The 23,650-nt window shown below is 41.2% G+C and overlaps 1 protein-coding gene across 1 annotated transcript; it reads right to left on the bottom strand.

Moving 5' to 3' along the window:
- Positions 1-243: 243 nt before the first annotated feature.
- On the bottom strand, positions 244-22,917 carry ARGFX (arginine-fifty homeobox). Its single transcript, NM_001012659.2, has 5 exons — positions 22,853-22,917; positions 20,050-20,164; positions 13,966-14,082; positions 5,801-5,949; positions 244-4,844 (listed from the first exon to the last, which is right to left on the bottom strand). Exons 2-5 carry the CDS (start codon positions 20,150-20,152, stop codon positions 4,266-4,268), a joined length of 948 nt encoding a protein of 315 aa, NP_001012677.1. The 5' UTR covers positions 20,153-20,164; positions 22,853-22,917; the 3' UTR covers positions 244-4,265.
- Positions 22,918-23,650: the final 733 nt, after the last annotated feature.

The following is a 23,650-nucleotide window of genomic DNA, read 5'->3' as shown; positions in this document are numbered from 1 at the left end:
TCCAGATAATATCGATCTCATAAAATGAGTTCCCTCCTCTTTTGTTTTTTTTGGAAAAGTTTATGAAGGATTGGTGTTAATTCTTCTTTAAACATTTTGGTAGAATTTAGCAGTGAAGCCATCTGGGACTGGGCTTTTCTTTGTGGGAAGTTTTCAATTGTTAACTCAATCTCTGTGCTTGTTATAACTCTGTCTCAGTCTGTTTTTGTGTTGTTATAACAGAATACCTGAGACTGGGTAATTTATGAAGAGAGATTTATTTCTTACAGTTCTGAAGGCTGGGAAGTCTTCCAGTCTCAGACGGAAGATGGAGGGGCCACACCTGGCCAGGGCCTTCATGTTTCATCCTCCCATGGCAGAAGGAAGGGAGAGGAGGAGGTAAGAGAGAGAGAGAAAGATAGAGGTGGGGGTGGGGATAAAGATTTTGGGGAAGAAGAAGGCCGAACTCATCCTTTTATCAGGAACCCACTTCTGAGATAACTAACCCACTCCCACAATAATGGCATTAATCCATTCATGGGGGCTCTGCCTAGTAACCCTTAAAGGTCTCACCTCTCAAAGCTGTTGCTTTGGGGATTAAGTTTCCAACGCATGAGCTGTGGGGGACACATTCATACCATAGCAAGCTCTATTCACAACATCTATTTCTTGTGGAGTCAGATTTGGTATTCTGTGTCTTCCTAGGAATTTGTCCATTTCATTTATCTAATTTGTTGGCATTCAATTGTTCATAGTATTTCTTTCTAATAATTTTTATTTCTATAAGTTTGGTAATAAAATCTTGACTTTTGTTTCTGATTCTAGTAATTTGAGTCTTTTGAGGGGGTGGTCAATCTAGCTAAATGTTTGCCATTTTGTAGATCTTTTCAAAGAACCAGCTTTTGATTTCATAATTTTTTTTCTGTATTGCTTTTCTATTCTCTATTTCATTTATTTCTGTTCTAGGCTTTCCTTCTTTCTGCTTTCTTTGGACTGTTATTATCAATTATTGAGAATGTTCTATGAATATACCACATTATGACTATATATTAGTGAAGTTTTCTTAAGAATTTTAATTTTTGCTAAAATTTGCCTCATATATTTTTGGTATATGTTGTTAAGTATATTTAAGTTCAAAGTTATTATATATTTCAGGTTAGTTGTTCCTTTTGTTGTTGTCTAATATACTTCATTTCTAAAAAAACTGTTTTGGCCAGGTGAGGTAGCTCACACCTGTAATCTCAGCCCTTTGGGAGGCTGAGACGGGAGGATCACTTGAGCTCAGGAGTTTGAGGCCAGCCTGGGCAACATGGCAAAACCTGTCCCTACTAAAAATACAAAAATTAGCTGGGTGTGGTGGCGTACACCTGTAGTCCCAGCTACTTGGGAGGCTAAAGCAGGAGAATCATTTGACCCAGGAGGCGGAGGTTGCAGTGAGCCGAGATTGCACGGCCTGGGTGACAGAGCAAGACTCCATCTCAATAAAAAAGTTTTGCCTTGAAGTTTAATTTGACAGATATTGATAAAACTATGCCACTTCCTTCCTATGTAAAGCTACTTTTAAAAAATATGTATATAAGTATTTGAAGCTATAAATTTCCTTCTAAGCATTGATTTAGCTTCATCCCATGTTTTGGTTTGTTGTGCTTTTGTTTTTTTCAGTTAAAAGTGTTTTCCAATTTTACTCATGATTTCTTCTATTTATTTATTTATTGAGACAGTATCACTGTGTTGCTCAAGCTGGAGTGCAGTGGCACAGTCACAGCTCACTGCAGCCTCGACCTCTGTGGCTCAAGGGATGCTCTTACCTCAGCCTCTCGAGTAGCTGGGACCATGGGCTCTGGCCGTCATGCCCAGCTAATTTTTTATTTTTTGTAGACACAGGGTTTTGCCATGTTGCTCAGACTGTGATTACCTCTTTAACCACTGGTTATTTAGGAATGTGTTGTTTAATATCCACATATTTGTGAATTTCCCAAATTTTATTGATTTCTAATTTCGTTCCATCATGTTTGGAGAACACACTGCATAGTTTCAATCCTTGTGATTCTCCTGCCTCAGCCTCCCAAGTAGCTGGGACTACAGGTGTGTGCCACCATGCCCAGCTAATTTTTTTTTTTTTTTGTATTTTTAGTAGAGGCAGGATTTCACCATGTTGGCCAGGATGGTCTTGATCTCTTGACCTCGTGATCTGCCCGCCTTGGCCTCCCAACGTGCTGGGATTACAGGTGTGAGCCACTGCGCCTGGCCTATTCAAAACATTTTCTATGTCCTTTTTTAAGTTTTGAAGTTTTCTCCACAGAGGTATTAATTTTTTTGTGAATTTCTAGGTACTTTTACATTTTTCATTGAGAGGTACTTATCTTATGTTTCTTTTATTTTTTATTTTTTATTTTTTATTTTTTTTTTGAGACAGAGTCTTGCTCTGTTGTCCAGGCTGGAGTGCAGTGGTGCGACCTCAGCTCACTGCAACCTCCACCTCCCAGGTTCAAGCAATTCTCCTTCCTCAGCCTCCCGAGTAGCTGGGATTACAGGTGTGTGCCACCATGCCTGGCTTTTTTTTTTTTTTTTTTTTGTATTTTTAGTAGAGACGGGATTTCACCATGTTAGTCAGGCTGGTCTCAATCTCCTGACCTCGTGATCCGCCCGCCTCGGCCTCCCAAAGTGCTGGGATTACAGGCATGAGCCACCACCCCCAGCCCTTATGTTTCTTTATTACTGGTGTTCAGAAATGGTATTAATTTTGTAGGTTGATCATGTGGCTGGAAAATATGCTAACTTGTCATTCTAAAAGTTTGACTCTTTATTTTGTGAGTTTTGCAAGTTTATCATCTCACCTTCAAAAATCTGTTTTTATTTCTTCCTGTGATAGTTTTTACACCTCTTATTATGTCTGGACCATTGTACTATATATATATATATTATTTTTTCATTGTACTATATTAAAACTAGTGGTGACAGTAATTTCCCCTCAAATTAGGACTGAAAGTCTCATTTTAAAAAAACCCAAATTCAGCCTGGGCAACAAGGCGAAACCCCATCTCCACTAAAAATACAAAAATTAGCCAGACATGGTGGCGCATGTCTGTAGTCTCAGCTACTCAGAAGGCTGAGGTGGGAGGACTGTTTGAGCCCAGGAGGCAGAGGCTGCAGTGAGCCAAGATGGTGCCACTGCACTCCAGCCTGGGTGACAGAGTGCTGTCTACAAAAAACAAATAACAAACAAAAAATGAAAAATTGGAAACAAAATGTAAGTTTATAACTTTCTGTCATTAAAAGTGGATGATAGTGTACTCACTTCCACAACACATATACTAAAATCAGAATGATACAGAGAGAAAAGTGGATGATGGTTTCTTCGGTTTCCTTGAAAAAAAGTGTTTTTAAACTAGATAACCCAGCCGGGTGCGATGGTGCACTCCTGTATTCCTAGCACTTTGGGAGGCTGTGGCAGGTGGATGGCGTTAAGTCCAGGAGTTGGAGACCAGCCTGGGCAACATGGCAAAACCTCGTCTCTACAAAAAACACAAAAATTGGCCAGGCTCGGTGGCTCATGTCTGTAATCCCAGCACTTTGGGAGGTCAAGGCAGGCGGATCACTGGAGGTCAGGAGTTCAAGACCAGCCTGGGCAACGTGGTGAAACCCCGTCTCTACTAAAAATACAAAAGTTAGCCAGGCATGGTGGCACACGCCTGTAATCCCAGCTACTCAGGAGGCTGACACAGGAGAATCACTTGAACCCCAGGAGGTGGAGGTTGCACTGAGCTGAGATCCCGCCACTGCACTCCACCCTGGGTGACAGTGCGAGACTCAGTCTCAAAAAAAAAAAATTAGCCAGGTGTGGTGGCGAGCATCTGTAGTCCTAGCTACTCAGGAGGCTGAGGTGGGAGGATCACCTGAGCCCAGGAGGTCAAGGCTTTTGTGAGCCGTGACTGTACCACTGTATTCCAGCCTGGGTGACAGAATGAGAGCTAGTTTCAAAAAAATAAAAGTGGATAACCCCCAAAACCACTGTCCTACTTTTAGAAAATCCAAGATAGTTTTGGGAAGGGAATTTTGGAGTCTCATTGGCCATGAAAGGGACTAGGCAGGCTTCTCAGGGAGACTTGTGGGGCTGATTACGTAGTGCCCAGCTCTACTTGGAAAACTCTTTTTGCAACATTTACATGGAAATCAGAGACACAGACCCAGATGTTGGGTTAAAATGAGACAAAGGAAAAAAACAGTCATGTACAAGAGGCAAGAAGACCACTTTTCTAAATGATCTATATTTATTAGTACTCTGGTCAGAGAAATCCCAAGTCTACCATATTGGAGGTTTTCTGGAATTCCAGGCTATCTGTTAGACTGTAGGCTTCAAAGGCTTGGCTTGTCATATTGGGCCAGGTTTGTGCAGGAGATAGGCCTACAGCTGGACCAGCAAAGATGCTGAGAGAGGAACCCTGTCCTCCTACCTGGTACTTTGTGGGTGAGAGATACTGATACAGACAGTGGAAAGAAGAGCTGGATATCTCATTCTCATCAGGAAGATTGTACAGTTCTATGATTTGGAATATGTCATAGGCATCAGAGTACAAAGCAGGAACCGAGGCCACCAGCCTCTCCCACTGAGTATCTTGCATTTGGAAGTCACTGGTAGAACTCTCAGTGAAGGTAGAGTTCCATGCCCAATTGGAAGGGTCTAAGGGCTGAGATGGAAGGGAGCTGTAGAAATCTGAAATCACAGGAGAAAAAGCATAAGGACTGGGGGATGTTCTGGGGGAGGTGGGCACATTCTTCTTGGATGGAAGGATCTGGTTTCGTTGCTTTGCTGATTGCTGCTGCTGCTGCTTCTTCAATTTGAATCGCCGGTTCCTGAACCAAACCTGGGAGTAGGGGAAGAGGGGGAGATTGTGGTCTGTTATTGGAGGAGGCATTGGAGGATTCTCCTGAGTGAAAACAGCCAGGTTATAATCTTCATGTCCTCTCTAATTCACCATGACACTGGGCTCTGCAAAAGCAGAGATGGGCATGACTGGAGTCAGTAGGAGGGATGATGAAGATCAGGTCTGGGACCCCAGAAAGGAAGGAAGCGGGTGTGTTTCAGGGTTTGTGCTGGGTGTTCAGAGATAGGGTCCTGAACTCTAGAGAAGAGAGGCTAGTTTAGGGATCTAGGATCTAGGGAGAGGTGAAGAATTTGAACTGAAGGATTTTTAAGGATTATTTTAGGAGGCCTCTCCTATAAGGAATACTCCAGTAAAAATGTATGGCCAGTCACGGTGGCTCACACCTGTAATCCCAGCACTTTGAGAGTCTGAGGTGAGAGGATCACTTGAGCTCAGGAGTTTGAGACCAGCCTGGGCAACATAGTGAGACCCCATCTCTGAAAAAAAGAGAAAAAAGAAAAACGTCATGGGCTTTAGCAGACTCAGAGGTTAGAGGGAGTATTATTTGTCTGTTGGTAGCATTATGAATAAACAGATTGCAGGGCTTTGCTTAAAAAGACTCTAAGCGAGGAGTCTGTCTGGATGAGCACCTTTCCGCTATTTGAACTCTATAGTACAAGTATTAAAAATAAGATTTCTGGGGTTTTAGTTCTAGCAACACTATTTCTTATCTCTGTGGCCCAGTCACTTTGCCTCTGAACCTCATTTTTTCTCATTTTTCAAACTGCATGAGAGTGAGGCCAGTATTTGCGATGTCCCCAGTTTGATACCGTTTCAGTAGGTACTCAATTAATGAAATATTATTGTGGGGCAGGGGTAGAGGGTGGGGAATTTCCAGGCTGGATAGGTGAATGTGGCTTGGATGGGGGTACCAAGCACACCACAGGGGATCAGACCTTTACTGTTGACTCCGGTAGGTCGAGTCTCAAAGCTAGTTTCTCCTGAAGATTTCTATCTGGGAACATGGTCTGGCTAAACAGAGCTTCTAGCTCCTCATACTGTTGGTGGGTGAAAGAAGTACGTTCTTTATGCCTTCTCCGTATTGCTTCAGGGCAGAGATAAAGAAGGGGTGGTTACATTTACATTACCAATCTCTCCCCCCAACCAAAAAAACAAAAACCAAAAAACAAATCACCATGGTGAATCTCTCATGCCTTTCCTCCAACCAGGCTTAGGATCCAGAAAATGCAGATCCCAGGTCTTGAGTCTGAATGGCTGAGCCCTGTGTAACAATGCTCTGTCCTCCGCTTTCTGAGATTTTGTCTCTGATAGGACATGAGTTACCTCTTCAATTTTCTGTGTACTCAGTCTGTTCACTCTGGAAACTGGCTCCCTTGAGTTTCAGTCTGCCCTGACTGCACTGAAAAGTTTTCTGTTTTACTTTTATTCTCTGGTACTCAGTCTTTCTACCCTACCTAACCTCAGGACAGTGGATAGTAGCTTCTGTCTTCTCATCTTTTTCACACTTTTGTTATTCTAGAAACTAGGAATATTCTGTGCAAGAGCTAGCCAAAAATTTTTTTAATTATGAAATAGAAAAAACTAGGAATAAACCCCATGTCTTTGCAACTGAATATAACCCACTCTTCTAAATGGGTTTCCTCTCTTCATTTATTTGTTCAGGAATCCAGTCCATCTCATCTGGCAAATAGGCTCTTTTCTTTGCTTTGCTTTGCTTTGCTCTTCTTTTCTTTCCTTCCTTCCTTCCTTCCTTCCTTCCTTCCTTCCTTCCTTCCTTCCTTCCTTCCTTCCTTCCTCTCTCTCTGTCTCTCTCTCTTTTTTTAGAGACGGGGTCTTGCTCTATTGCCCAGGCTGAATGCTGTGGCACGATCATAGTTCATTGTAACCTTGAACTCTTGTGCTCCTGCAATCCTCTGGCTTCATCCTCCTGAGTAGCTAGGACTACAGGCACTATCACCCCTCCTGGCTAATTAAAAAACTTTTTCTTTCACAGAGATGGGGTTTCCTTACATTGCTCAGGCTGATGTTGAACTCCTGGGCTCAAGTGATCCTCCTGCCTTGGCCTCCCAAAGTGTTGGGATTACAGATGTGAACCACCGTGCCTGGTAGAGCTTTTTCTTTTATGGGATTTCTGAGGCTCTATTCACTACTTTGGGGAAAAGAAATCAAACGTGGTCAGCACAATGTGCTCACACCTGTAATCCCAGCACTTATGGGAGGCCAAGGTAAGAGCATCACATGACTGGAGGAGTTGGAGACCAGCCTGGGGAGTGTAGGGAGACCCTGTCTCTATGAAAAATTAAAAAATTAGCTGGGCATGGTTGCATGTACCTGTGGTCCCAACTATTCTTGAGGCTGAGGTGGGAGGATTGCTTGAGCCAGGAGGTTGAGGCTGTAGTGAACCATGATTGTCACCGCATAATAACTATTCTTGAGGCTGAGGTGGGAGAATTGCCTGAGCCTGGGAGGTTGAGGCTGCAGTGAACCATAATTGTGTCACTGCACAATCATGTGTCAGCCTGGGTGACAGAGTGAGACCCTGTCTCAAAATAAAATAAAATAAAATAAAATAAAACAAAATAAAAATAAATATGTATAGAAGATTGAAAAAGTATAGTTTTTTAATGGCAATGGAAAGGAAAAGGGTTTTTTCTTTAAAAATGCAATTATCAGCCAGGTGTGGTGACTCACACCTGTAATCCCAGCACTTTGGGAGGCTGAGGCAGGTGAATCACTTGAAGTCAGGAGTTTGAGACCAGCCTGGCCAACACGGCAAAACCCTGTCTCCACTAAAACTACAAAAATTAGCCAGGCATAGTGGTGCATGCCTGTAATCCCAGCTACTAGGGAGGCTGAGGCACGAGAATTGCTTGAACCCTGGAGGTGGAGGTTGCAGTGAACCGAGATCATTGCATTGCACTCTAGCCTGGGTGACAGAGCAAGATTCTGTCTCAAAAAAAAAAAAAAAAAAAAAATCCCGCAATTATCAAAATTTGGCCATGCACAGTGGCTCACACCTATAATCCCAGCACTTTGGGAGGCCAAGGCAGGAAAATTGCTTGAGGCCAGGAATTTAAGACCAGCCTGAGAAATATAATGAGACCCTGTCTCTACAGAAAATGTTTAAAAATTAGGTGGGCATGGTAGCACATGCCTGTGGTCCCAGCTATGGGAGGCTGAGGTGGGAGGATCACTTTAACCCAGGAGATCAAGGCTATTGTGAGCTACTATCATGTCACTGCACTCCAGCATGGGCAACAGAGAGAGACCCTGGCTCTAGAAAAATAAATAAAATAAAAGTAAAAGGAGGAAAGGTCCTCACTTGGACCTCCCTTCTTGTACTTAAAAGTCCATAATACCAATACTAAAATCAGGCAAAAATAAACACTATAGATAAAACTATAGGCAATGCCACTTACGAACGTAGATGAAAATAACCTATATAAAACATATTTAATCCCACTTTAAATGTACATATTTCTAAACTTATAATATCTTATTTTTTCAGTTCATATATATATGTGAAATCCAATATACTTAGAAATATTGATTTTTTTCTGCTCACATTTAATAAAATTATTCTACTCAAACTGTATTTACCTTAGATAGCCATATCTTAAATATTCTGAGCCTGTTCTTTTAATTAAATAACATCGTTTTACCAGGCACTAATTCTTTACTTTCAAATAAGTAGTTTGTGATACAATATTTCTGGAATGTGTCTGTGGAATACTGTTACTGGGAATTTTGTTCTAAGCCACAGGAAACTTATTTATATAATATTAAGATAACCACTTTCCCCCCACACTCATCCCATAGGGGTGCATTTGTGACTTCCATAACCTAACTACTTACTGTAAATTGTTTAAAAATAACAATTTACAAACTGTAAATTGTTTAAAAATAAGAACTTGATTTATTCATTTATTTGGAAAAGCAATATGTACAAATAGTACAAAATTGAAACCATCCCTGTTCCCCAACCACCCAATTACTCTCTAGAGCTGTTCTGTTCAATACAGTAGCCACTGCTTCAAATGACTATTAATCATGGGAAATGTGGCTAGTTCCACTGAGGAGCTGATTTTTTTTTTTTACAGAGTCTCCCTCACCAGCCCAGGCTGGATTGCAGTGCAGTTGCTTGATTATAGCTCACTGCAACTGCCATCTCCCTGGCTCAAGTGATTCTCCCACCTCAGCCTCCCGAGTAGCTGGGACTAGAGGTGCACACACCATGCCTGGCTAATTTTTGTGTGTGTGTGTGTAGAGATGAGGTTTTGCTACGTTGTCCAGGCTGGTCTCAAACCCCTGGGCTCAAGTCATCCTCCCACCTCCACCTCCCAAAGTGCTAGAATTACAGGTATGAGCCACTGTGCCTGTAATTTTTAATTTTATTAAATGTTAATTTAAAATTAAAAACTGATAGTGCAATTATTGGGAAACTAGTATGCTTGGAACAACTTGGGTTCGTCAACCTTTTTTCAACTGTGATTTTATGAAATCTAAATGCAGATCAAGTATTTCTCATGAAATATTTAGCATCTAGACTGAGATATGCAAAGTGTAAAGTATTCACTGGATTTTAAAGTCTTGCTATGAACAAAGAATGTAAACCATCTCATTGGATTATATTTTGTCTGCTTAACAAAATTGTTACATTTTATTAATGTGTTGCATTCAATGTCATATATACATTGTTTAATTACCTATTAAAAGTAAAGTTAGAAGCTTTAAACTTACTATTTTGGCCAGGCATGGTGGCTCACACCTGTAATCCCAGCACTTTGGGCAGACCACTTGAGGTCAGGAGTTTGAGACCAGCCTAGCCAACATGGCGAAACCCCATCTTTACTAAAAATACAAAAATTAGCCTGGAGTGGTGATGTGTGCCTGTAAGCCCAGCTACTTGAGGCACGAGAGTCGCTTGAACCCGGGAGGCAGAGGTTGCAGTGAGCTGAGATCATGCCATTGCACTCCTGGGCAACAGAGCGAGACTCGGCCTCAAAAAAGAAATAATAATAATAAACTTGCTATCTATTTGTGTGTATCTAAACACAACATATAATAAAAGTAAATTAAATAAAAAACATATAGATGATACAGTAAAGGAAGCAGTGGGTTTTTGTGTGTGTTTTTAGCTTTTTACATACTTTTGAATCATTAGCTTGCTTCTGTATTTATTCAAAATGTCCCTTGAAATAGGACTGTCTCTACTAAAAATACAAAAAATTAGCCAGGTGTGGTGGCACACACCTGTAATCCCAGCTACTCAGGAGGCTGATGCAGGAGAATCACTTGAACCCAGGAGGCGGAGGTTGCGGTGAGTCAAGTCCGCACCACTGCACTCCAACCTGGGCGAAAAAGTGAGACTTCATCTCAAAAAAAAAAAAAAAATATATATATATACACACACACACACACACACACACACACTTTTCTTTATAACTCAAAATTATGATTTATGAATATATAGAGAGTAGACTACAAAAATTATGAGAACCTATTGCAATGACAACCTCAGAGAGGCAGTAGAATGGAACTGATAGAAATGGTTGAGTACTTTTGTTTTACCTCCATTATCTTAATTTATTTTGTTTATTTATTTTATTATTATTTTTAGAGATGAGGTCAGGTGTTCGAGACCAGCCTGACCAACATGGTGAAACTCCATCTCTACTAAAAATACAAAAATTAGCTGGGCATGGTGGTGCATGCCTGTAATCCCAGCTACTCGGTAGGCTGAGGCAGGGGAATCACTTGAACACGGGAGGCGGAGGTTGCAGTAAGATAAGGTCTTGCTCTGTCTTAGGAGTTCGAGACCAGTCTGGACCACATGGTGAAATCCCGTCTCTACAAAAACATGGTGAAATCCCGTCTCTACAAAAAAGGGTGTAGTGGCACGCACCTGTATTCCCAGCTACTCGGGAGGCTGAGGTGGGAGAATCAGTTGAACCTGGGAGGTTGAGGCTGCAGTAAGCTGAGACCGCGCCACTGCACTCCAGCTTGGATAACAGAGTGAAACCTGTCTCAAAAAAAAAAAAAAAAAAAAAAAAAAGAAAAGAAAAGAAAAGAAAAAGAAAGAAAGAAAGAAAATATAAATTTGATTTTGGAAGGCCAGGTGCGGTGGCTCATGCCTGTAATCCCAGCACTTTGGGATGCCAAGGCGGGCAGATCACGAGGTCTCGCTATGTTGCCCAGGCTGGTGTCTAACACCTGGGCTCAAGGGATCCTCCTGCCTCAGCCTTCACAGTAGCTGGGACTAAATGTGCACCACCATACCCAGCTCATCAGCCTCCTGATTCTATTCCAGGAAAACCCATCTCAATCAAATATGACCAACATACAAGATATTTAGTCCTAGATTTAGGTCTGTTATATTCACACCTGGTAACTACCCTCTTAGGGAAGGACAAGTGGGCTCCCTGAGAAGAGATACAGACTACAGAGAGGGCACAGGGGAACAGAGCTTGCTGGAACTGGCTTGGTCCTGTGGTATCAAGGACACGCTGGAATCACTGATGCTGATTAAAATATGTGGCTGAGGAGTCACAAAGGATACCCTATTCATCAGAGTACTGTGGAAATAAACATTATATACTTGAAAGTATTTTCAGTCAGCCTTGGCTAAAATGAAAATTAAAGAAACTATAGATCAGTTTGGTATCAGATAAGGAAAAATAAAAAGCCTGGAACCAGGATATACTTTGTGTTACAAATACTTCAATAATTATAAATGCAGACCTAAGTTATTTTTTAGGGCAATGTGATAAGGAAGATTAAGTCAAGGAAACATCATATATGGACAACTACCAATAATATCCCAGGAAAACTCACATCCATGTGGGGCGCATTTCTTCCAGAAATTTAAATGTATACATGCTGTCTTCTGAAAACTTTGATCTATTTCTTATTCAATTAGCTCAAGGAGTCCATAATATGCAAGTTGCACTGTGGAAAAGTTTTAAGCAGTAATCTTGATATATGTTCAACAGTAGAAATTTTGCTTTTAAAACAGTACTTTTCAGGCCGGGCACGGTGGCTCACGCCTTTAATTCCAGCACTTTGGGAGGCCAAGGCAGGTGGATCACGAGGTCAGGAGAACAAGACCATCCTGTCTAACATGGTGAAACCCCATATCTACTAAAAATACAAAAAAAAAAAAAATAGCTGGGTGTGGTGGCGGGTGCCTGCAGTCCCAGCTACTCAGGAGGCTGAGGCAGGAGAATGGCATGAACCTGGGAGGCAGAACTTGCAGTGAGCCGAGATCGCGCCCCTGCCCTCCAGCCTGGGCAACAGAGCGAGACTCTGTTTAAAAAAAAAAAAAAAAAGATAAAACTATACTTTTCTAGGAATGTGATTATGAACCTATTACCCAAACTCTTCACCTCAATTTCTTTTTTAAAATTTTTTAATTTTTTAAATACAGATGGGGTCTTGCTATGTTGCTAAGGCTAATCTCAAACTCCTTGGCTCAAGTGATCCTCCGCACCTCAGCCTCCCAAAGTGCTAGAATTATAGGTGGAAGCCACCACACCCAGCCCACCTCAGTTTCATCAAGCATAAAAGGGGAATGTGGCCAGATGTGGTGGCTCACACCTGTAATCCCAGCACTTCGGGAGGCTGAGGTGGGTGGATCACCTGAGGTCAGGAGTTCGAGATCAGCCTGACGAACATGGAGAAACCCCATCTCTACTAAAAATACAAAATTAGCCAGGTATGGTGGCGCATGCCTGTAATCCCAGCTACTCTGGAGGCTGAGGCAGGAGAATCACTTGAACCTGGGAGGCAGGAGGTTGCAGTGAGCCAAGATTGCGCCATTGCACTCCAGCCTGGGCAACAAGAGTGAAACTCTGTCTCAAAAAAAAAAAAAAAAAAAAAAAGTGGGGTAGGGGGAATGTTAAGAGTACGTACTTTTGGCCAGGTGTGGTGGCTCACGCCTGTATTCCCAGCACTTTGGGAGGCCAAGGCGAGCGGATCGCTTGAAGTCAGAAGTTTGAGACCAGCCTGGCCAACATGGTGAAACCCTGTCTCTACCAAAAATACAAAAATTAGCCAGATATGGTGGCAAGCACCTGTAATCCCAGCTACTCAAAAGGCTGAGGTAGGAGAATCGCTTGAACCCCAGGAGGCAGAAGTTGCAGTGAGCTGAGATTATGCCAGTGCACTCCAGCCTGGGCAACAGAATGAGACCTTGCCACACACACAAAAATGAATACCTACTTTATAATAGGGTTTGTAAATTTATTACATGAATGTATTAATGTAAGGCACTAATTATATTGATTTATTAATGTAAAGGCATTAATACACTACAATAATGTGTGGCACATTGTATGCACAACATACCTCTCTTTTGTAAATTAATTTTATTTTAGTTTAGAGTATGTCACTGAAAATGAAGTCTTTTCAGCAGGGTAATGTGACATGTAAAATATACTTTTCTGGCCAGGTGTGGTGGCTCATGCTTGTAATCCCAGCACTTTGGGAGGCCAAGGCAGGCGGGCGGATCACTTGAGGTCACGAGTTCAAGACCAGCCTGGTCAACATGGTGAAACCCTGTCTCTACTAAAAATACAAAAAATTAGCTGGTGTGGTGGCACACACCTGTAATCCCAGCTACTCAGGAGGCTGAGGCAGGAGAATCGCTTGAACCCAGGAGGTGGAGGTTGCAGTGAGCCAAGACCACGCCACTGCACTCCAGCCTGGGAGAAAAAGTGAGACTCCATTTAAAAAAAAAAAAATATATATATATATATATATATATATATATATATGTACATGTAGATATATATATATATACATACACACATACATATATACACAACACACTTTTCTTTATAACTCAAAATTATAATTTATGAATATATAGAGAGTAGACTACAAAAATTATGAGAAACCTATTGTAATGACAACCTCAGAGAGGAGATAGAATGGAACTGATAGAAATGGTCATCAAGTACTTTTGTTTTATCTCCATTATCTTAATTTATTTTATTATTATTTTTAGAGACAAGGTCTTGCTCTGTCTTAGGAGTTTGAGAACAGTCTGGACCACATGGTGAAATCTCGTCTCTACAAAAGAGGGTGTAGTGGCACGCACCTGTAGTCGCAGCTACTCGGGAGGCTGAGGTGGGAGGATCAGTTGAACCTGGGAGGTTGAGGCTGCAGTAAGCCGAGACCGTGCCACTGCACTCCAGCTTGGATAACAGAGTGAAACCTGTCTCAAAAAAAGAAAAGGAAAGAAAGAAAGAGAAAAAGAAAGAAAGAAAGAAAGAAAGAAAGAAAGAAAGAAAAAGAAAGAAAGAGAAAGAAAGAAAAAGAAAGAGAAAGAAAGAACAATGAGAATATAAATTTGAGTTTGGAAGGTCAGGCGTGGTGGCTCATGCCTGTAATCCCAGCACTTTGGGAGGCTGAGGCGGCTAGATCACAAGGTCAGGCATTTCAGACCAGCCTGACCAACATGGTGAAATCCTGTCTCTACTAAAAATACAAAAATTAGCTGGGCATGGTGGCGCACACCTGTAATCCCAGCTACTCGGTAGGCTGAGGCAGGGGAATCACTTGAACTCAGGAGGCAGAGGTTGCGGTGAGTCGAGATCACACTACTGCACTCCAGCCTGGGTGAAAGAGCAAGGCTCCATCTCAGAAATAAATAAATAAATAAATTGAGTTTGGAAATAGACACACTTTAGCCACTGGACCATCCAAACCACCATAATCTCAGGGAACACATATGTCCATTATTATTAGAAAATTTGGTTTGGGCACTGTTGATGACATCAGTAATTTCAGCATTTAGGGAGGCAAAGCATTCTGCTTGACCTTGGGAGTCAAGACCAGCCTGGACAACATAGTGAGACCCCCATTCTCCACAAAAAGGAAAAAAAAAAGGAGAAAATTTGGCAAAACATAAATGTCTGTTTACGTGGAGGGTCTCAGTTTTCACATTTATAAAATAAAAAAGAATAGCTTTATTTTATTGAGTCACTTCACAGATTATGTACAATGAGACCTTATTTTCCTCTTCCTTTTCTCTTTGTCCTACATTTATTTCATTTATTTTCAACCACACTTTTTTTTTAATGTTTGAGACAGAGTCTCACCGGAACACCCAGGCTAGAGTGCAATGGCTCAATCTCAGCTCACTGCAACCTCCACTCCACAGGTTCAAGCGATTCTCCTGCCTCAGCCTCCCAAGTAGCTGAGACTACAGGCGCTCACCACCATGCTGGCTAATTTTTTTACTTTTATTAGAGATGGGGTTTCACCATATCAGCCACACTGGTCTCAAACTCCTGCCCTCAAATGATCCACCCACCTCGGTCTCCCAAAGTGCTGGGATTACAGGCATGAGGCACTGTGCCCAACCTAGCCACACCTTCTTAATTGAGCCAGAGAGTGACACTCTGAAGTGATGATGCCCCCCACTCAAGAGGCCGTGCATGCTTCTGTGCTCGCTCTCATGCCTGCCCTCTCTCTGTCTCACCCACTCTCTCCCTCCAAGCCTGGACTAGCCTTCTAGAGGATGAGAGACTATAGCGAAAAGAGCTCATATTCTGCAACATAGGCTACTTTAAATGAGTTTACAGCTAGTCAACCCTCAAGCATGCAAGAGATGCCAGCCAAGATCAGAAATGGCCAGCTGGCTTGTAGATTTTTTTCTTTTTCTTTTTTTTTTTTTTGAAATGGAGTCTCGCTCTGTCGCCAGGCTGGAGTGCAGTGGCACGATCTTGGCTCACTGCAATCTCTGTCTCCCAGGTTTAAGAGATTCTCCTGCCACAGCCTCCTGAGTAGCTGGGACTACAGGCACACGCCACCACGCTCAGCTAATTTTTGTATTTTTAGTAGAGATGGGGGGTCTCACCATGTTGGCCAGGATGATCTCGATCTCTTGACCCTGTGATCCGCCTGCCTCGGCCTCCCAAAGTGCCGAGATTACAGGCGTGAGCTACTGCACCTGGCCTGGCTTGTAGATTGATAAACAACAACAAATACTTATTTTTTTAAAACCACTGAAATTGTGTGAAACAGCAATGACTAATTTGTACATACATTTGGTCTTCAAACATATCAATTTTCTGAACTTTCTTCTGTTCTCTCAGTTCTCACCATGTTCCTGCAGCCTCTATTTCCACATTACCATTCTGCTGGGGATTTTCTGCAAAATTCTTAGCCATGTACTGTGTGAGATGTAAGAAATAACAATTCTATTTGGTGTGTAACATATTCTTCCACATCTCCTAAATCCGGGGTCCCTAATCCCCTGGGTCACAAACTGGTATGGGTCCATGGCCTGTTAGGAACTGGTCCGCACAGCAGGAGGTGAGCAGCGAATGAGTCAGCGAAGCTTTATCTGTATTTACAGTCGCTCCCCATAGCTCACATTATTGCCAGAGCTCCGCCTCCTGTCAGATCAGCTGGTAGCATTAGATTCTCATAGGAGCATGAATCCTATTGTGCACTGCACAGGTGAGGGATCTAAGTTGCATGCTCATTATGAGAATCTAATGCCTGGTGATCTGTCACTGTCTCCCATCAGCCACAGATGGGAGCATCTTGTTACAGGAAAACAAGCTCAGGTCTCCTACTGATTCTACATTATGGTGAGTTGCATAATTATTTCATTATATATTACAATGTAATAATAATAGAAATAAAATGTGCAATAAATGTAATGTCCTTGGATCATCCCAAAATCAGCCCCCCAACCAGTCCGTGGAAAAACTGTCTTCCACAAACCAGTCCCTGGTGCCAAAAAGGTTGGAGACTGCTGCCCTGAATGCTTCTGGAAAGAGCTTTTCATACCTTTCAGTAAATATATTTATTTTATAAGATGGGGTCTCACTATATTGCCTAGGCTGGTCTTGAACTGGTAAGTCTATTTTTAATTTTTGAGGTACCATCATACTGTTTTTCACAGCGGCAGTGCCATTTTACATTCCTGCAAACATTCTGATTTCTCCCCATCCTCACCGACACTTGTTCTTTTCTGTTTCTTTGATAGTTGTCATCCTAACGGGTATGGTTTTGATTTTCTTTCCCCTAATAATTAATGTTGCTGAGCATCTTTCATGGATTTGTCCATTTGTATATCTTCTTTGGAGAAAGATCTATTCAAGTTTTTTGCCTTTTTTTTTTTTTTTTTTTTTTTTGAGATGGAGTTTTGCTCTTGTTGCCCAGGCTGGAGTGCAATGGCGTGATCTCGGCTCACTGCAACCTCTGCCTCCTGGGTTCAAGTGATTCTCCTGCCTCAGCCTCCCGAGTAGCTGGGATTACAGGCATGCACCACCACACCCAGCTAATTTTGTATTTTTAGTAGAGACAGGGTTTCTCCATGTTGGTCAGGCTGATCTTGAACTCCTGACCTCAGGTTTTTGCCCATTTTTAATTGGATTTTTTTTATTGTTGTTGAGTTCTAGTTTTGTATATATTATAGCTATTAACCCCTTATTAGATAAATGCTTTGCAAATATTTTCTCCCACTACATAGTTTGCCATTTTACTTTTTTTTTTCTTTTTTGAGACAGAGTCTCTCTCTCTCTGTCATCCAAGCTGGAGTGCAGTGGCGTGATCTCTGCTGCAGTCTCTGTCTCCCAAGTTCAAGCGATTCTCCCACCGCAGCCTCCCAAGTAGCTGAGATTACAGGCGCCTGCCACCACGCCTGGCTAATTTTTGTATTTTTAGTAGAGACAGGGTTTCACCATGTTGGCCAGGCTGCTCTAGAACTCCTGACCTCAGGTGATCCACGCATCTCGGCCTTGCAAAGTGCTGGGATTACAGGCATGAGCCACCATGCCCGGCCCCATTTCACTCTTTTGATTGTGTCCTTTGATCATACAAGTTTTTATTTTTAATGTAGTCTAATTTATCTATTTTTATTTTGTTGCCTGTGCTTTTGGTGTCATATCCAAGAAACCATTGCTAAATCAAATGTCATAAAGCTTTTCCTCTATGTTTTTTCTATGAGCTTTGCAGTTTTAGCTTTTGTGTTTAGGACTTGATCCATTTTAATTTTTGCATGTGGTAAGGTAAGGATCCAGCATCATTCTTTCACATGTGGATATTCAGTTTTCCCAACACCATTTGTTTCAGAGACTGTCCTCTCCCAATTGAATGGCCTTAGCACCCTTGTTGACTATATGTGCAAGGACGTATTTCTGGACTTTGCTCTCTTCTATTGGTCTATATATCTGTCTTTATGCCAGCACCACACTCTTTGATTACTGTAATTTGTAATAAATGTTGAGATTGTGTAATATGAGGCCTCCAGCTTTGTTCATCTGTTCATCTTTTTCAACATTATTTTGGCTATTTGGGATTCCTTGAGACTTTATATAAATTTTTGGATAGACTTTTTTTAGTTTCTGCAAAAAGCACCATTGGGATTTTTATAGGGATTGCATTAAATCTTTAAATTGCTTAGGTAGTATTGACACATTAATAATATTAAGCCTGGCCGGGCAGTGGTGGCTCATGCCTGTAATCCCAGCACTTTGGAAGGCCGAGGCGCGTGGATCACCCAAGGTCAGGAGTTCGAGCCCATCTAGCCTGATCAACATGGTGAAACCCTGTCTCTACTAAAAATACAAAAATTAGCCGGGTGTGGTAGCGCCTGCCTGTAATCCCAGCTATTTGGGAGGCTGAGGCAGGAGAATCGCTTGATCCTGGGAGGCGTAGGTTGCAGTGATCCGAGATCGCTCCATTGCACTCCAGCCTGGGCAACAAGAGCGAAACTCCGTCTTTAAAAAAAAAAAAAAAAAAAAACAACAATAATAATAAAAATATTAAAGCTGGCCAGGCGAGGTGGCTCATGCCTGTAATCCCAGGACTTTGGGAAGCAGAGGCAGGCGGATCACAAGGTCAGGAGTCAGCCGGGTGTGGTGGCTCACGCCTATAATCCCAGTACTTTGAGAGGCCAAGGCAGGTGGATCACCAGAGGTCAGGAGATCCTAGACCATCCTGGCTAACACGGTGAAACCCCTTCTCTACTAAAAATACAAAAAAATTAGCCAGGCATGGTGCCACATGCCTGTAATCCCAGCTACTCGGGAGGCTGAGGCAGGAGAATTGCTTGAACCTGGGAGACGGAGGTTGCAGTGAGCTGAGATCGCACCATTGCACTCCAGCCTGGGCAACAAGAGCGGAAACTCCATCTCAAAAACAAACAAACAAACAAAACCCTAAAGGTCAGGAGTTTGAGACCAGCCTGGCCAATATGGTGAAACCCCATCTCTACTAAAAATACAAAAAAAAAAAAAAAAAAAAAAAAATTTGCCGGGCATGGTGGTGCATGCCTGTAGTCCCAGCTACCTGGGAGGCTGAGGCAGAAGAATCACTTGAACCCGGGAGGTGGAGTTTGCAATGAGCCAAGATTGTGACACTGCACTGCCAGCCTGGGTGACAGAGCAAGACTGTCTCAAAAAATAATAATAATAATAATAATAATATTAAGCCTTCCCATTTATGCACATGGAGTGTTTTTCCATTTGTGTCTTTATTTCAGCAACATTTTATAGTTTTCAATGGACAAGTCTTTCACATCCTTAGTTAAGTTTATTTCTTAGTACCTAATTATTTTTGATGCTATTGTAAATGGAGTTATTTTTATAATTTTCTTTTCTGATTGCTTATTAGTGTATAGAAAAACCAGATTTTTATACAGTTTTACATATTTTTAAAGGTAAACATTGTATACAAACAATGTTTGGGAAATCTCCAGGATAAAATATCAAATAACAAATATATATTTCAGAACAATTCACTAAGATCCACCTTATATAAATGAATCTTCTTATACATGTATACAATACTACTCTGAATAATGAGCTTTTGTTTGTTTGTTTGTTTTCATTTTCCTTCCATATTGGGCCACAATATACCTGCCTTGGAAAAGGAGATTTCTCAGTTTCTATCTGTCTATGTTTCAGATCTTTTCTCCTAGAAAAACATGCTCACTTGCTCTATATATTATATTCTTAGCTTATCTCTCATAATTTGAATCAACCATGGGCCAAAGGCCCATTTGATTTGAAATGTATTTCTCCTTTTATGATGGGAAGACTTTTTGAATAGATTTTTTAAAACAATCAATAGCTGCCTTAAAACAAATGCAAAATGCAATTGTAGGGCTGCATGAGAATGGGGCAGTAGAAAAGGAAAGAGGACAAAGAAGGATGATACTCACTGGGACTAGCTGGATCCTGTGGTGGTATCACCTTCATGTTGGAATAATTCCTATTGATGAAAGGGTCTGGCTGGGGATTCTCTGGGGCCATTCTGTTCCTCATGGTTTCTGAAATCTGAGATGGAAGGCCTATGAGATAGGGAATGCTGATGAGGAATTCATTCGCTGGATAGCAATGTTTTCAAGGAGCCTGGGCTTGATGTATGACCTCTGGCAAGTGAGGTTAACCCCCAATTCCTCTACCTCAGCTGGAAAATGATTCATATTTTATACCATAGAGAAATACTCTAGCTGTACTTGTCAAAAATGAAACTTTAGAAATAACAAAAGAAATCCTGTGTCAATATCTTTGTGACTCAAAGTAGAGGGATATTTCTTTGATGAGATTGTTAAAGTGCAATCTATACACGAAAAGATAGAGATCAAATGACCACAGATTTCTCATCAGAAACAAAGACAGTTCTTTTAGCACTTCAAAGATTTTGTACCACTGTCAACTTAGATTGTTTTTTACACCACTTGCCATCACTCCCAATCAACTCAGATTCCGTATCCAGGGAAAATATCTTTCAGGAAAGAAGGTGAAATGAAGACATTCTCTGAACTATGAGAATCTGTGGCCAGTAGTCCTGTTCTGTGGAGTATTAAAGAAAATTCTTCCTAAGAGGGAAAATTGGAACTTCAAGAATAAAGGAAAAGCCACACATATGGTAAATATCTGCTTACATATAATAGGTCTTAAATGTTTAAAAGCTATTTGGAATATATATGAAGATTGAAAGCAAAAATTACCATGTTGTTTACTGGTTTTGTTTTGTTTACTTTTAATTTTGAACTAATTTCAGATTCACAAGAAATTGCAAAATAATATATATGGTTAAGGTGCTGCACACACTTCAGCTAGCCTCCCTCAATGGTGACATCTTGCATGTTATTTTACTTTTTCACTCTTATTCTATAACAAATGTACAGGGGAATAAATTTAGAAGAGCTTCTTAATTCATAAACCAATATTTTGCAAATGACCAGTATGTAATGTTACAAAATCCTGCATGGGTAAAAGATCCACTCAAAGTTCAATGTAGACCAATGGATTTTAATGTCACAGAATTTGGAAAGTTCATTCATATGATTTCAAATTTCACATTGCAGGACGGGCATGGTGGCTCACGCCTGTAATCTCAGCACTTTGAAAGGCCGAGGAGGGTGAATTACTTGAGGTCAGGAGTTTGAGACCAGCCTGACCAACATGGTAAAGCCCCATCTCTACTAAGAATACGAAAATTAGCTGGGCGTGGTGGCACGCACCTGTAGTCCCAGCTACTAGGGAGGCTGAGGCAGAAGAATCGCTTGAACCCAGGAGGCAGAGGTTGCAGTGAGCTGAGATCATGTCACTGCACTCCAGCCTGGGCGACAGAGCAAGACTCCGTCTCAAAAAAAAAAAAAAAAAAAAAGTTTTCACATTGCAACTCATCTTTAAGAAACTGCTACTTGTTGAGTTTGTGTTGTAATTTCAAAGAATATCCACAATTATTTCAAAGGCTACAAGAATACTCCTTTTTCTAGCATCATATCTGTATGAGGTCAGATTTTCTTCTTACACTTCAATAGAGTAATGCATCAGAAAAGGTGACTGCAAAAGCAGGAGAGAATTCTGCCATCTTCCATTAAGCCCTAAAGTACTAAAATGTAAAACAATGCCATTGGTCTCACAATTTTTTTTTGTGTGTGGAAAATATAGTTAACACGTCACGCATTTATCATTTTATTTTGAAAGGAATGAATAAATATATTTTAATCTCAGTTTTCACTTTGAATATGGTAAATATCTAGGTATATCCTATAGAAACAAAAGTTCTTTGGAGTCCTTAACAATTTTTAAGAATATAAAGAGGTTCTGAGACCAAAAAATTGGAACAGCAATAACAACAGATGGCCTAAGGCTTAGCATTTAATTGAAAAGAAATTAAACTTCACTAAGCATCTGTTCTTCAGTACAATCCTAAGAGTAAATAAATGATGCAGTAACATTCAGTAGCAACATTAGGATACCGTCAGACATCCAAGTGCTTCATATACATGATTCATGTGATCCTCGACAAACACATGGGGTAATGGACAATTATTATCAACCTCTTAAAGATGAAGAGACATGAGATCTAAAAGTTTGGCCAGGTAGAGAAGAAGCATAGCTGGGAATGAATCAGGTCTTACTGACTCTTGTACACACAGTCTAAACCCTGGCCCACTTTCCTGGGATGGGCATTGAGAGTCTGTAGCTTAAACTAGCATATTAAAGAAACAAAGAAGCAAACGATTCAACTGGTCTACAGTGCTTTCCCTGATCGAGGCTATCAAGAGCATAAGGCAGAATTGCCACTAGCAGAACCACATTTACTCAGCAATTTTTTATTGCCTTCTTCCTACAAATGGGCACTTACATAGGTCTGTGGATTCTGCAATGAACGAAGTACACAAAAATAGTTGCTATGATGGAGTTTACATTCTAATTAAGGATTTCCAAAGGCCTGGCTAACACAGATGGAGAAAGTTTGGGAGCCCTGCAGAACTGACAACCACACTCAGTAAGTAAGGAGTCTCACATTCACTCCCTGATTTTCATGAGGTGAACAGTCAGTCTTTCTGACCTTCCTTCTGTCCCCAACCATCTATATCATGTCCCTCTAATGTGAATGGGCTGAGTGGTTTGCATCCTTTAATATTGCTCCTTTGATTTTTCAAATCCTCTTTGAGCACTTAAAGCCCCACATTCTGGCTACCCTCCCCGCTCCCCCATGCTTACCTGTCACGAATCCCCTTAGAGTAACCATTTTCAGTCCTACGTGGTGTGTCTCTCTCTGGAAATGCAGTTTCCTTAGTGTGTCCTCATGCAGAAGACCCTGTATTTAAATGTAATTTTTATACAATCAGACCTCCTCCTGCCCCTGCACCACCCAGACACACCCTGATGTCCCACCCTTCATTCATTCATTTGTTCATTCAATATAAGTATGCTTAGAGCATAGTGTAACTGTTGCTGAAAATAGTAATTATTCTTTTTTTATACTCAAACTTCCTACCTTTGACAACCCTTCAAGGCGACTCCTGTGCTTTTTGATGCAACCACCTTTTTACTTTTACACTTGCGTTGTTCAAAGTTTTAGGTGTAAAATTCCTCTAGGCGTGGTAACACACGCCTGTGGTCTGAGTTATTCGGGAGGCTGAGGTGGAAGGATCACTTGGGCCTGGGAGGTTGAGGCTGCAGTGAGCCCTAATTGCACCAGTCTACTCCAGTCTGGGCAACAGAGCGAGACAGCAAGACCCTATCTCAAAAAAATAAAAGTAAAGTTTTAGGAGTGTATCTTTAAAATAGTGATCTGATCTAAGAATTTTCTTATGGAATAATCCATTTATGTTTGATAGGATAAGAACACAGTAATCCCACCTTATCCACAGTTTTGCTTTCTGTGGTTTCAGTCAACTGCCACCCAAAAATATTAAATGGAAACTTCCATAAATAAAAAATGTGTTAGTTTTCATTTCTTTTCTTTTCTTTTTGAGACGGAGTTTCACTCTTGTTGCCCAGGCTGGAGTGCAATGG

Source organism: Homo sapiens, chromosome 3, assembly GCF_000001405.40.
Source record: "Homo sapiens chromosome 3, GRCh38.p14 Primary Assembly".
Lineage (NCBI taxonomy): Eukaryota > Metazoa > Chordata > Mammalia > Primates > Hominidae > Homo > Homo sapiens.
Note: the sequence above shows the minus strand (reverse complement) of the source record. Positions and strands in the feature narration are given on the sequence as shown.

Bases quoted from the DNA above. Each gene is read 5' to 3' on its own strand.
- ARGFX (NM_001012659.2), bottom strand. From the start codon at position 20,152: ATGAGGAACAGAATGGCCCCAGAGAATCCCCAGCCAGACCCTTTCATC. The intron at 14,083-20,049 runs GTGAGTATCATC...TTTTTGAGACAG, and splicing joins ACAGGATCCAGCTAGTCCCA to GTTTCACTCTGTTATCCAAG. The intron at 4,845-5,800 runs GTCTGATCCCCT...CCCTACTCCCAG, and splicing joins TACCGGAGTCAACAGTAAAG to GTTTGGTTCAGGAACCGGCG.